At 38.2% G+C, this 14,637-nt stretch overlaps 1 long non-coding RNA gene across 2 annotated transcripts, besides 1 other annotated feature; it reads right to left on the reverse strand.

The window, feature by feature from the left end:
- Positions 1-355: 355 nt before the first annotated feature.
- On the reverse strand, positions 356-10,898 carry LOC105375638 (uncharacterized). Of its 2 annotated transcripts, none has more exons than NR_188051.1 (6): positions 10,817-10,898; positions 7,766-7,905; positions 7,312-7,376; positions 5,468-5,505; positions 1,371-1,521; positions 356-1,089 (listed from the first exon to the last, which is right to left on the reverse strand). It is a non-coding gene; the product is annotated as an uncharacterized LOC105375638 (long non-coding RNA). The 2 variants fall into 2 exon arrangements; NR_188050.1 differs by having other exon boundaries at positions 1,371-1,540.
- Positions 482-1,681: an enhancer, noted in NCBI's record as "BRD4-independent group 4 enhancer chr8:93415274-93416473 (GRCh37/hg19 assembly coordinates)". NCBI's record gives its function as "activates an origin of replication core promoter dependent on BRD2, P300/CBP, MED14 and CDK7 cofactors, and independent of BRD4, by STARR-seq in HCT116 cells {active_cell/tissue: HCT116}" and the evidence as "EXISTENCE:reporter gene assay evidence [ECO:0000049][PMID:35650434]".
- Positions 10,899-14,637: the final 3,739 nt, after the last annotated feature.

Raw genomic sequence — 14,637 nt, forward strand, 5'->3', positions numbered from 1 at the left:
TCTCCAAGGAAAAGCATGAAGTGCTAGAGGAATGTCTTGCGCAAAGAATCTTTCCTTAGAAATTTGGACTTAAAGAAACTGTCTTTCAGAGTAACACAGAATGGAGTATTAAGGAAGTGGCTATGGAGATAATTTCAGTCTTTCATGTGTTTAGTAAACTCTCCAAATCTTAACTTGCAAAGGAACTGTCGCAGGCACTAGTCTGAATTGCAAAAGCCAAGGGCTTTGCCAAAGGCTTTGTGGTCTAATACATTTGGCTCCGGAAGGAGTATAAGACTTCTCTAGTTTGAGTACATAGGACGTTAGAGTGATTCCTGAACTACATATACTTTAAAAAGTAGATTTAGTAGCAGAGACCATTCAAATTCTGATTTTAATTATTCACGTGAATTCAAATGAATAGAAGATATAATTGGACACAAAATAGACGAGGATGTGAATCTCAAGGGTGCATGGCACTTAGGACTTGAGGCTAGATTCCAACTAGGAGAAAGGCTTTGAGGTAGGAATTGGGATGGTAAGATCAAAATTAAAACATTAATCCACAGAGCCAGTTAGAATGAGAGCTAACATAAAAACTAAAAATGGTTGTGGCATGTGGGATAGTCACACAAATTGGAGAGATGATGTGGGGGAACCAGCAAAAGAGTGGTAATGTCAATAGGATGGCATATGAGCCTACATGAATTTTGGAGTTTCAGGACTTAACTGGGATACTGGGCTCATTTAGGTATCTACAGCAGGATAAAAAGCAGACTTGTCCTAAATTGCTGAGCAAATGTTGTGAGGGTTCTCCAGGTTAGGGAGGGGCCTGTTAACCCTTCCTGTGATCATCCTACTTTATCCTCTGCTCACTTGGTATATAGTTCACTCTGTGGGTTGCTCTGTGAATGTATGGGAATGGTGAGATCTCACCCATGCAATCAATGGCAATTACTGATCATCTTGTCCTCATGCCTCCTCGACTTAGACTCTTTCTACTGGGCTCCAGTATTTACATTGCTGCCAGGAGCTCTTCCATCGCGGTGCTGCTTTGCCAATTTATCTTCCTGAGTCTGCAGTTCATGGCCTGTAACCTTCTTCTGGTGACTGGAATTACACAAGAAAATCAGGAACATTCATTTTTTACCTTTGTTGGAACCGACTGGGGTAGTGGTGGAAAGCCTCCAGTGTAGTCCTTCGACAAGCTGAGATTGAATCACTGACTGACTGCGAAAGAGCCCCCTTCTCCCCTCCTCTCCTGGGCCCTGATTGCAGGCAGGTCCCCCTTCACTCAGATCCCCCAGTGTCGAAGGTCAGGGTTGGGGAGAGGGATAGAAATGAGGCAGTGATGAGTGATCAAGAATTAGGATGCCCTGGAGGTCACTCACAGGTTCTCACGGAGGCTCCACTGTGACCTCCCACGTGCGAGCACTTTCCTATCTCTGGTTTCTCCCCATCTGACCGGTGCTGGGTTTGGCTAGAGGGCGGCTGTAGAGTGCTCAGAAGCAGCGTGCCACGGGAATCACGTGTGGTCCAGCCCTCAGGTGGGAGAGAAGACCTTGTTGGCAGACGGATGGGGGCACGGGAATGAGGAAAGGGGAGGAGACAATCTTGGCAAAAAGTTTTTCTTTTCCATAATTACAGGGAACTAGGATTTTAAAAAAATTATTGTTATTATAATTATTATTATTGAGAAGAGGAAACCCAGGGCTGGCAGAGGGGAACTTCTCTGCTTTTATCTTTCAGGTTTGACTCCTGGCACTGACTTTGATACTTGGAATTTTGAGGTTCAGGGACTTCAGAGAATTTGGCAGCACAGCGTATTGGGAGAAACGGAAATTTCAGGAGATGGATTGATCACCCTGGTTGACATGTTTCTGGAAGTGGGTGAGTGGGTTTGATTGAGAACATTTTGGGCTCTTGCACTGATGGTGGGAAAGAAAAATTCATGGCGGCACTTCTCATAATAATTCTCTCCCCTGAAAAGAAAGATTATGATAAAGAATAATTTGGAATAATAAGTAACAAGATAGAATTAGAAAAATGTTGACTTTCCAGATGACCAGTCAGAAGTGTGGCTTTTTTCACATCTTTTTCTCCTGCAATGATCTGCTCCCAAGTGCTGCACTGCAATACCAGTCTAACTAACACTTTGTGAAACAAATTGTTAAGTGTGTATGTATGCATATCAAGCTATGCTCTGAGGATAAAGCAAGTTCTAATTTGTGGAAAAAGGATTAAGTATTTCTGTTTTCTGAAAAAGAAAAATGTAGAGTATCTTCCTATTGCTTCAAACCCTATACTTCAATATCCAATGTTCGATATCTCCATTAGCCCCATTGTATCTTTCACAATTCATCCCTCACTGCTTTCTCATGGGGCCTTCTATTCTAGCAAGGAAACATTTTCTTCTCCCCTCCCCCCTGTCATTTCTCCTTCTTTGGTAATGTTTTTCCATTTCTTCCCCTCCAATCCAAAGCCTCCGTTTCTTTCAAACTCATATATTAAGTTTTACCTGGTACAAGAAACATTTTTTGATTAAATTTACTTTACAGTGGTTTTAAGATTTTTCCAGAATAATCTTATAAACATACCTGTAGCCTAAGAATTATTTACAAGTTGACTCATGTGTGTGTAGCTTTTTGCCCTAATTACAGTCTGAATTCCTGAGCAACATCCTTTACTTATTTTGTGTTTTGTTAAGCCTCAAATAGAAATGTGAATCCATAGGAGGCACTCAAGTAATGCTTACTCAACAGATGAAGACATCCTCCTGTACTACTATGGTCCCCTAACAGAGTGATAAGAATTGATTTTGTAAGAGAACAAATGTTTAGTTTTTATGATTCTTTGTTAACAAGGTATATATAATTTACATTGCTTGAAGTTATAGTGTACTGTCTTAGTGTGGGAATATTAGGGTAAATAATTTTACTTTTACCAACATTTTTGTTCTTAACATCTAACTACTTGTCCCATTTATTTGGGGTAAGAAGGTCTTGGGTTGCTGTTTTGGTGGTTCTGTAGTATCACAGAGACTAATGAAATTGGACTGCATGTCAGCACAGGTGCATTTCAGGTTTATTCAATGTACCATCATCTTCCAAAACTAGATCTGTGGGTGGAGGAGCAGTGATTAATCTATGGAATGTTATTATAGGTGTATAGATAAACAGACCTGGAATGTAAACTACTGCAGATGCCCAGGATTGGAACCACTTTTTTGTACACAGATGTCTTTTTTTATTATTGAGTCTTTGGTTTGGCAAAAAGTTGTTAAGTGGTCTTTTATCAATGTCACTGGGGCTCTAATAACTTTTTAAGGGTGACCTGCTTCTGTGCCACAGATCTTATTTCCTTGTGTTTCAACTCAACAGTGAGTGTTCAATTAATGACTGTTCTGCATAGTGAATGGAAAGTGTTTTGTTGAGAAGGACTTATTTTTCTTTCAAACCTGTAAGGATATAATGTGCCAGATGGTTAATTCCCATGGGTTAATGAGTGTACCTACACACTTCATGATTGAAAATATCCTTCCGACGTTTTTCCTGTGGTGAAAGAATGGCTATAATTTTAATTTACATTTGTATGAAGTATACGTTTGCAGTTTTCTACTGATACCTGAAAAAATAGATTTCTATCATAATGTGTGAAATATATGCCACTTTAGTTATATAGTCTTCTGGTGTATGGGGCGTAAATACTTTACAGAAATATAAGTTTTGATAAACTTTTAATATTACATTTTAATTATCACTCACATTTAACTTGGAGAGTAAGGACATAGCTTTCAATGTGTGTGTGGAAGGGGCAATTGTTAGCAGTATTCAAATGAATCATTCTTGTGTCTGTGTTTCAATAAGATTTATATTTTTAACTAAAGAAATTTCTTTACTTTGTAATGTCCAATTAATAGGCTAATAATTTATAGCCAGTTAAGAGGAAGGAAGTTCTTATAAGGCAGCAATGCTAAAATGCCCAAAGATTGGCATAGGAAAAAAATTACATTTGAATCTCCTTTGAGAAAAGACCAAAATGAAAGCCATCACAATTTAAAATATTTTCAAGTAGTTGAGTAATGATAGTTTATACATAGAGCTAAGTTTATATAATATTGTATGTTTTAGGGATTCCAGGCTATAAAGTGTGAACATAAAAACCTAAGAAACCCATAATACAAATTATACCAACACCCAACACATTTAGAGTTTTTTTTAAAAAAAGAAAAACATAAGTGGCTGGGCACGGTGGCTCACGCCTGTAATCCCAGCACTTTGGGAGGCCGAGGAGGGCAGATCATGAGGTCAGGAAATCGAGACCATCCTGGCTAACACGGTGAAACCCCGCCTCTACTAAAAATACAAAAAAATTAGCTGGGCATGATGGCAGGTGCCTGTAGTCCCAGCTACTTGGGAGGCTGAGGCAGGAGAATGGTGTGAACCCGGGAGGTGGAGCTTGCAGTGAGCCGAGATTGCGCCACTGCACTCCAGCCTGGGTGACAGAGCGAGACTCTGTCTCAAAAAAAGCCAAAAAACAAAACAAAAAAAACCCATAAAAAACAAAAATGTTTTTGGTATTTTTTTTACAGTTCCCTATAAATGACAATAATTTGTATATACACCAAAATTATATAGGCTATTAGCCACCTGTAGTTCATGCCTGCCGTGATCTCCGTAGCTGAGTAATTTACTCAAAAGTTGCATGTCTTCAAGGTCAGAGATAGCTTATCTCTATGTTCCAGAATCACTTCAAGTTTTACATCCAGACTCAACTCATGACAACCTGGACTGACATCACTCCTTCTTTTGTAAGATGAGAATCATATGTCATCTTCTCATGCGTTGGAGACTGGGTAGGCAAATACATCTAACTTCATTCAGGGCACCCCTGACCAAGCAATCTGTCTGTAGGGATGCTTGTTGGAGGGTTTCAGGTAACCAAGAAATGGGTAGGGTAAACTGAGGCAATTGCTGAAGATAGACAAACAACTCAAATAAATCTTGAGTATTTAAGGCAGTATGGGATGTCAAGTTCCCACATCATTTTGCATATGTAGAACAGGACTAACTTAAAATGATTAAAAAAATTATAGCCAGTGTCTTACATATCAGAGAGTAAAAGATAATGAAGGAATAATTTGAGACAAAGTCTGAGTGGGAAAATAAATAAAATGTATTAAGGCTTTTTTAAAACAGAAAATAGATTAACGAAGAAATTAAGTGATTCTTCTAAACATTTTAACATACATACATTAAGGGGTGTACTAAGATAATTTAATAAGATAAAGTAAAATCAAATAATGTTTAGACTAAAGCATAAGAAAAATACTTGAAGCTAGAGAACTTTAAACTTATAAAATGTCATTCAGAGCAAAATAAATGAAACTAGGTTTTTGGTATCCATTTAATGTTGGACTTTCAAAAAATGAGTGGTTAATAACTGGCTGAGGAGATAAAATTGGAAGTTCTGCAGTCTTTTGACTCACCTATATCTCTCATATTATGTAAGAATCAATTCGCGTATCTGCAAAGAGAACACATTATGATATCAATGCTTTTTTCATAGTTTTACTTTGCATTTAAGACCAAAATCAGATTATGGATATATCACATTAAAGAATCCATTTCCCTCTGGAGTCTGGCTATTTCACTCCAATTTTTTCAACTACTTTATTCCTCCTGTATTACATTTTACTTTTCCTTCACCTTTTTTTTTTCATCTGTACATTTCTTTGCTTCATCCAGTTCAATTTACTTTGCTAATGTTTGGAAAGAATATTATAACTCAATCTTCATGTAATGGTTTATAACCTCCTGATTTTGTGATCTTTTTAAAGGCTGTTATATTGACAAGTAAATTATACTTACTTTAGCCAACTGTATGTACTTATGTCACTTTAAATTTAACTTATCACTAGTTGTCAAAATCTCCCCTGTGGCCTTTTTAATGTTCCAATGTATTTGGCAGTATATTTTTTTATTGACATTTCAATTTTATTTTGCCGTGTGCTAAAGTTACAAAAAAAAATGACTAAAAGTTAAACCCGGGCCAACCCAGACTAAAGTTAAGTTTTAGGAGTATTTGGGAATGCATTATTTTTGTTGAATGCTTAAGCTTCTGAATCCACTAGGACTCAGAATGTATTCAGTCGAGATCTGGATGCTGAACTCTGGTGTTAGGCAGAAGAAAAGTAACAAGAGATCATCACCAAACAAGTCTGAGATTAAGATTTCCTTACCAGCTTTATGTTTTCTTGTTTGTTTTGTTGTCAGTAAAAGAAAACCCAACTCATTTAAACATTTTGGCTTGTGAATACTTAACATTCTCCTTTAGTGCATTAATTACTATTTTGCCTAATTGTTTGTTTTGTTTCTTATTCCATGATCAATTTATCCCAGATACTATAAATTGCTTTTCACAACCTTGTCTAGTGTGATTTCTGCTATCTTCTCCTGCACCTAGTACCAGGCATGGTGCCTCCTAGAGACTCAATATGTTTAATGGCCTACATTGCTATGTCTCTTACATGACTAACTCACACATAAACATTACCATAAATAGAAACATAGATGGCAGACTACAGATTATGATTTGTGTGTTTTTCACTTAATTTCGGAAAACACAAGCAAAGATCCTTTTGATTTGATACTTCTGTTGGCTAACTATACAGCAAGCTTCTTAGAGCTGCACAGCTCAGTACAGTAGCCACTAGACAAATGTAGCTATTTAAATTTAAACTGAATGAAAATTAAATGAAATTTAAAATTCAGCTCTTTCACCACACTAGCCAAATTTTAAATGCTTAATAGCTACATGTGGCTGTTGGCTACCATATTGGACAGTGCAGATTACAGAACATTTCCATCATTTCAGAAACTTCTTTTGGGCAATGCTGTCTTAGAATGTTATTTTAGAAGAATACCTCAAGTGGTTAATACAAATAATAATAATAATACAAATTTTTTCTTTTGCGATTTTGTATTCCTTTAGGAAATGTCAGCTAGCTCAGATCTACATATAGGCAGTACCATTCTCAGTGCTAAATAAATCAAAATAGTGTGAAATTGACTACCACCAGAATCACAGAGTAAGATTAAAATGCCAGGAGCTATTTTTGTTAAATGACTTTGTAATGGTTCTCCTGGATTTTTGTTCTGGCAGTCTCTATCAAGCACCAGTGTCTTTAGATATTGGTTTGACCTGTATCTATGAGCTTGCTGTTGGACAATGAAGAACTTCATACATATAACATGTTTTCCCAGATATTCTGTTCTTAAGTGCAGAAGAAAATCATTAGGAGTATTGGGAATAGATCTCTCATCTCCTTACCCCATGTCTCTTAGCTTCTGCAGCCAAGTGTTCAAAAGGAAGTGTCCTGGTATCTGCGTCTTTGCCTGAGGAGAGATTGATTTCCCAGTTTAGATTCATATCAGAAAGTTATGCTTCCTGCCAAAAGGATATTTAAAAACTCCACCCTCCCTGCTTCACAAAGAGAGAAAACAGATCAGCCAGGACCCAGACAGTAGATAACAAACAGATCACTCTAATTAGAAAAAAAGAGGCAGCATACAACAAACAGAGCCCAGCTACCTCTGGGCAGTAAGAAGAGTGAGACTTTAAGAGGCCTCTCGTTCATGCCCTTAAAATAACCTTTTAATAAGTTATACAGAAACATAAGATTAAGGGCCTCCATAGGAAAACGTGACTTTCAATTACAGACCAGCAAAAGCCTGGAAAAGTGTGAGATATTAAAAAGAACATCCAGAAGGAACCAGAACATAACCTGTTTGTTTTGCCAGATGAGCTGAAGAGTTTTCACGAAGTCTTGGTGAGGAGGAACTGGAAGTTGGTATCAGAATCTCACTGTTTTGTTGTTTATACTTATGTTACCATTTCTAAAATGTTCTGCAGAACTGTTAACTACTACAGGAGAAAGTTTCCAAAGTTAATAATGTTAGGAAATATTGGATTAAATAAGATTAAATAAGTTTCAAAAATAATTATAAACTTATCAAGATTTGCTATGCTAATGTGTGTTGCAATTCTCTACAAAGCTGTGGAAGAGATAAAATATTTCTTAAGCTTCTGTAATAAGTATTTGGAAATTTGGATAAAGCCCCAAGGCAGGAAAAAATTGGTGTTAAGTTGTTTCATATTATCGAGAGTAGTGACTAAACATATCGCCACAGGACTTAAGGGGTAACAACAAGATGATGATGATGATAATGTGACCATTTAATGAATGCTTACAAAATTCTTATAACAGTAACTTGTGCGTAGTAAGTGCTCAAAAAGTAATTGCTACTATTATTTTGGGGTCTGATGGGGCTGTAGGGATAAAAGACACACTGAGACACTCTTGGCCAAGCAGAAGTAAGAATGCTGCATAAACCCAAATGACATGAAGTCAAAGGTCACAGAGGGGCCTCACAGAGCCTGGAAGATTTGCTCATGCCTCAGCCAGTAATAATGGGAATGTCCCTTCCCACAGGTGAGGCTGAATGAAGTCCATGGATCCCTCAAAGGATTAATTATGAAATGGTGATCAGTCGTAGTGTACCTGACTGGTGAGGAAACAAGCCAGAGGCTGCATCAAGAGGTGAGCTAGAGGACTATGGAAGTGTTAAATCTTGAAATCAAAATTAAACTCAGCTCTTGGCAGTAGTGAACAAGCTCTCACATTGTGATTTCAATATTGGAGCAAAATAAGTACTTCAGTATTTTCGTATTTATTTATCCAATACTAAAATAGCACAAGAAAAAAATCAAATAGAATCGCCATCATTTTCAACTGCGATTTCTCATTTACTATTGCACTTGATAAGGAGTCTGTCCAGGGCACAGTCTTTGAGGCCTGAGTCCCCTGAGTGAGCAGAGCTTCGTCGGGGAGGATGACCAAGGAAGCTTGTTTTGGTTAAGATAAATATTATTAAAGGAGGAATGAGCGAGGCCCTAAAAACCAGAACCAGTCTCTAACAGGAAAAACCAAGTGAAAGGACATGATTTTGCTCTTTTTAATGGCTGTGTAGTATTCTATGGCGTATATGTACCACACTTTCTTTTTTCTTTTTCTTTTGCTCTGTTGCCCAGACTGGAGTGCAGTGGCACTATCTCCGCTCACTGCAAGCTCCGCCTCCCAGGTTCACACCATTCTCCTGCCTCAGCCTCCTGAGTAGCTGGGACTACAGGTGCCCACCACCACGCCCGGCTAATTTTTACCACACTTTCTTTAACCATTCACTGTTGATGGGCATGTAGTTTGATTCCATCTTTGGTTTGTGAATAGTGCTGTGATGAACATACAAGTACATGTGTCTTTTTGGTAGAACAATTAGTTTTCCTTTGGGTAATCCTAAGCAAATTAACAGAGGAACAGAAAATCAAATACCGCATGTTCTCACTTACATCTGAGGGCTAGACATTGGGTACACATGGACATAAAGATGGGAACAATAGACATGGGGACTACTAGAGAAGGAAGGGAAGGAGGAGGGTGTGAGTTGAAAAACTACCTATTGGGTACTATGCTTATCACCTGGGTAACAGGATCGGTATTCCAAACAACATACCCATGTAACAAACCTATACATGTAACTTCTGAATCTAAAATAGAAGTTGAAGTTATACAAAGAAAAAAAAGCAAGTGAAGCAGAAGGGCCCTGAGGGAATTCAGCTCTGGAATAAAGGAAGATTTTGGGCCTCATGAGAAGGTTGAGAATTGGGCCCAAGAAACTTCATCTCCATGTTCCTCCTCTCCTAACACCTCAAACATATTTTCCCTCCTGCTTTCAGTATTCTCTCCCACCTCCATGCTAAAACCACTCCATCAGAGACCTTGGAATTGATTGTGGCCCAAATTAACTCTGGGGAAATAAAAATGAATTATAAACATGAAAGATTCCCAATTAACCTAAGAAATGGAAATTAAAATAGTAAGCTAACCCAAAAAGACTTTAAACACATGAAGGATCCATGGATCTATTTATTTGATATGTTCAGAATACTTTCAAAATGAGGGCAAATTTCTTGGAATCAAAACATTACTGTAGGTAATGATTCTGTAGGTAAGGCTCATGGCATACATAATTTGGGTTTTAGATTTCTCAATATACAGAAAATATAACATGGTACCAATAAGAATAATGATATTTTGGGACTTAAAAATAACGTGAATATAGAACAGTAAAAATGAGTGTTGCAGTTGCTTCCACAACTGTCACTGGATAATCATTGAGTAAATGGTAAAGTCCTTCTCTGTATTTTCTGTAATATTCTTGTGCTTTGTAACAGTTATCTCTTGCTGCATAACAAACCAACCCAAGCCATGGTATCTGAAAATGTCAACAAATTATTGCTTATATTGATTGGGTAGTTCTTTTGCTGTAATTGCCTAGTTCATACATGAGCTACAGTTGAGACAGACGAGCTGGCTGGTTTTCTGTTTTGATATTGTCTGGAGAAAAAGAACAAAGACCCCTTAACTCAACCTGTATCTTACTTCATCTACAGCCAATCAGCATCAAAGGCCCAAGAAACTATTAACCACAAGTTCCTGGTTTTGGGGCTAGGGACTTCACCGAGGACCTGAATGCACAGCTAGGCTTAAGCTTCAACTCACAGTGATCTTTTTTCTCATTTTAATGCTAAAAATCATACTCAGAGGTGGAGGTTTAAAATGTTAATGTTACATGAATTGTATGAAGAAGCATGTAAAGCCACTGTGCAAGTGCTAGAGAAATCCCTCCTATCCATGCCCCAGTGAAATCGTTTTCTGTAGAATAGGACCTATAAAACTAACACATAGTCTACGCTCAGGACACAGCCCTCTGTTTACCTTCCATGGTGCTGCCTTTCCCTGTGCACCAGCTAAATGAAGCTTTCTCTTTTTCTTTGCTGCTGTGGCTGGTGATCTCTCTTGATTTCTATCCTGGGAGATTACAAGAACACCAATAACAGACTCAGTGTGGGGGATCAGGCTAAATGGCTGGGATGGTTGTAATGGTTGGGACTCTCTCCACATGGCCTCATGTCCCTGGAGTCTTCACAGCATGGTGGTCCCAGGTTCCAAGGCAGCAAGGGTAGAAGGTAGAAGATCTTTTCAGGTAAAGGTTTGGAAGTCATACAGCATCACTTCCACCACATTCCATTAATCAGAGAGGTCACAAACCCAGCCCAGATTCAAGACGGGGGAAATAGACTCTACTCAATGAGAGAGAGGTGGCAAAGCTAGAGTCACATGTTTAATAAGAAAGGGACTTTGTGGTCATCTTTGCAAATAATCTACCACAGTCCCTAAGTCATTACTAAGGAGTCAGAAGAGGACTCAGTGTAGTCATGAGCCTTTTTTTTCTGAGGAATAATTTTGCCTCTGTTTATCCTCAAAACTTGGAGCTTTAAACATTGGGACCTCCATGGATCCATTTACTTGACAATGTTGACTATAATCTTTATAATCTCTATCTTGATGTATAAGTGGTAGAACAGTATTATACATCTGTATCTAGGAGGTAGGTGATTTTCTGCAGAGATTGAGCTGGGTTTTTATTAATAAATTGACTTTCAATTTTGTGATTTATGAACTTAAAAGGAATAGTTTCCATCTATCTTGTTTGTGCAAAATATAATCTTTGCAATCAACAAAGAAGCCAGCATATTTTAATTCTAAAATTGTTTTAATTATTATCTAATTATGTCAACATTATTGGCATTGTGAGCTTGGAGATTTTAGTTCCATAGAGCAAAATACAGTTGATGTTTATTTTTTAATTCCTTTTATTGTTTGTGTTCCAAACGGACAAACAAGCAGTAAAATACTGACAAGTTCCTATGCCTGTGTCTGCATTTCTTCAGAAGTCAGGACACTAAATAGAAAAATGTGTTGATAAATAGAAGGCTTTATTAGTTTAGATGACACTTCTGGATTTCTGTAGGAAAAAAAAACAAACCCATAAATCTGATCATGAAATCTACTACAGTAGTCTATCATTTAGAAAGTGTTTTGCTAATGGTGGTATCACATGATCCTCTCTTAAAATTCTCCCTCTCCTCTTTTATTCTCTTGAGGATAAACAGGTAGAAATCAAGTTGTAGTGTGTATAATTATTAATTCCTGAGTGAAAAAAAGATGGGGGCCTGAGAAAGAATGAAAATGCCCTATTCATTCTGCATGTACTGACCCCATCTCTTATGTTGTTTACATTCTTCTTGCTTTCTGGAGACCATCAGGCCTAACTCCGTTACTTAATATTCAGTCTTCAAAGTTTCCAACAAAACTAATTCAGTGAGTTAGACTTCCCTTCCTGGAAACATCTTTGATTATCTTAAAACATTAAAAAAAATTACAGCAATCTATAACTGCATGTACAATGTGATGAGAAGGCTAATGATAGTAGTGTAATTGTATGTCTCACTCATCCATACAACAAATATTTATTGAGTATATCCCTTATTCCAGGTGCTTTGCTAAGTATTGAGGATACAGAAAAAGAATATGTCCTGTTTATTTCTTCTAAAGAACCCTCTATATCAGGAGTCAGCAAGCATTTTCTGTAAAGGACTGGATTGTAAATATTTTACAATATTTACAATATTCTCTGTTACAAGCACTCAACTTCATCTGTTTAGCACAAAAAGCAGCCTTAGAAAATACATAAATGAACTGATGCGACTGTCTTCCCACAAAATTGTATTTACAGAAACAGGTGGTGGACTGCGTTTTGCCCCTGGGCTGTAGTTTGCTGACCCCTGTTTTATATAACGGAGGGACATATAATTTAAGAGTAGTAAAGTGTTATAATTAATATGCTAGTAATAAGTATAGAGGCATGAAGGAGAAACTGCCAGTTCTCAGGGTAAAATGTGATCTAGAAAAACTTGGTAAGAAAGATGAGTAGGTTTCTGTGAAGTATACTGGGAAAAGACCAGACAGCCTAATGTTTCCGTTTGGGATGACTGGGCCACAGGATGTAACCACAGTGTTACTATGCCAATCATGGAATTTTTAAGCTCCAAGGAACCCTAAAGTTCTTCTAACCTAATTACTCATAAATTCAGTGATCCTTTTATAACATTCCGGAAAGAATTTGTGAAAATAAGGTAAAGATCAGTAGCACTGCGTGCTTTGACTTTGTGTATATCAAGTATTCATTAGAACAAAAGCTTTTATAGCAAATAGTTAAATTGCCTATGTTAGCTCATTTATGTCAAGCAACCACCAGCACCATAACTGTCAGGCCTCTGAGCCCAAGCTAAGCCATCATGTCCCCTGTGACCTGCACGTATACCTCCAGATGGCTTGAAGCAAGTGAAGAATCACGAAAGAAGTGAAAAAGGCCGGTTCCTGCCTTAACTGATGACATTCCACCATTGTGATTTGTTTCTGCCCCACCTTAACTGAGCGATTAACCTTGTGAAATTCCTTCTCCTTGCTCAGAAGCTCCCCCACTGAGCACCTTGTGACCCCCGCCCCTGCCCGAATGAGAACAACCCCGTTTGACTATAATTTTCCACTACCCACCCAAATCCTATGAAACAGCCCCACCCCTATCTCCCTTCACTGACTCTCTTTTCAGACTCAGCCCACCGGCACCCAGGTGATTAAAAAGCTTTATTGCTCACACAAAGCCTGTTTGGTGGTCTCTTCAAACGGACGAGCGTGAAAATAACATTCCCACCAATCTTTCTTTTCACTCTCTACATGCTGTTGTATACCCCGATCTCTCTTCATAGGCTTAGACTTACATGGTCACTCACTTCATAGGAGGTGAAAATTCAGGTTTGTGGAGCCTAAGGCTTATACCTATGGGGATTTCTTTAAAAAAGTAAAAGTATGAGTACAAATTTGTTAGCTTAGCTTTGGAGACCTTGGAAGGAACCTGTACAGTGAGGAACCCAGAAGCTTAAAGCTTATCAGCTTTGTGGCAAATTTGCATCTGCCTAACAGATAGTGTGACGGTTAATATTAAGTGTCAATTTGATTGGATTGAAGGATGCAAAGTATTGTTTCTTGGTGTGTCTGTGAAGGTGTTGCCGAAGAAGATTAACATTTTAGTCAGTGGACTGGGAGAGGCAGACCCACCCTACATCTGGTTAGGCACCATCTAGTCAGCTGCCAGCACAGCCAGAATAAAAGCAGGCAGAGGAACATGGAAGGACTAGACTGGCTAAGTCCTCTGATCTCCATCTTTCTCCATGCTGGATGCTTCCTGCCATCGGACATCATACTCCAAGTTCTTCAGCTATTGGACTATTGGACCTACACCAGTGGTTTGCCAGCAGCTCTCGGGCCTTTGGCCACAGTCTGAAGGCTGCACTGTTGGCTTCCCTACTTCTGAGGTTTGGAACTAGGACTGACTTCCCTGCTCTTCAGCTTGAAGACGGCCTATTGTGGGACTTCACCTTGTGATCGTGTGAGTCAATACTCCTTAATAAACTCCCTTTCATACATACATCTATCCTGTTAGTCTTGTCCCTCTAGAGAACCCTGACTAATCAGATAGCAATCTAATTTTCCAAGTTGGATTGAACCACACATATCTAAAAAGAAACCCATACTCTTTCACCTCAAAATTGGAGCCTATGTTTTCTATATAGCATTTGAAAAATCTAGGGGATGCTAAGAGTCATCCAACACATCGATCTTTCACTTACACTGAC

This window comes from Homo sapiens, chromosome 8, assembly GCF_000001405.40.
Source record: "Homo sapiens chromosome 8, GRCh38.p14 Primary Assembly".
NCBI classification, from domain to species: domain Eukaryota; kingdom Metazoa; phylum Chordata; class Mammalia; order Primates; family Hominidae; genus Homo; species Homo sapiens.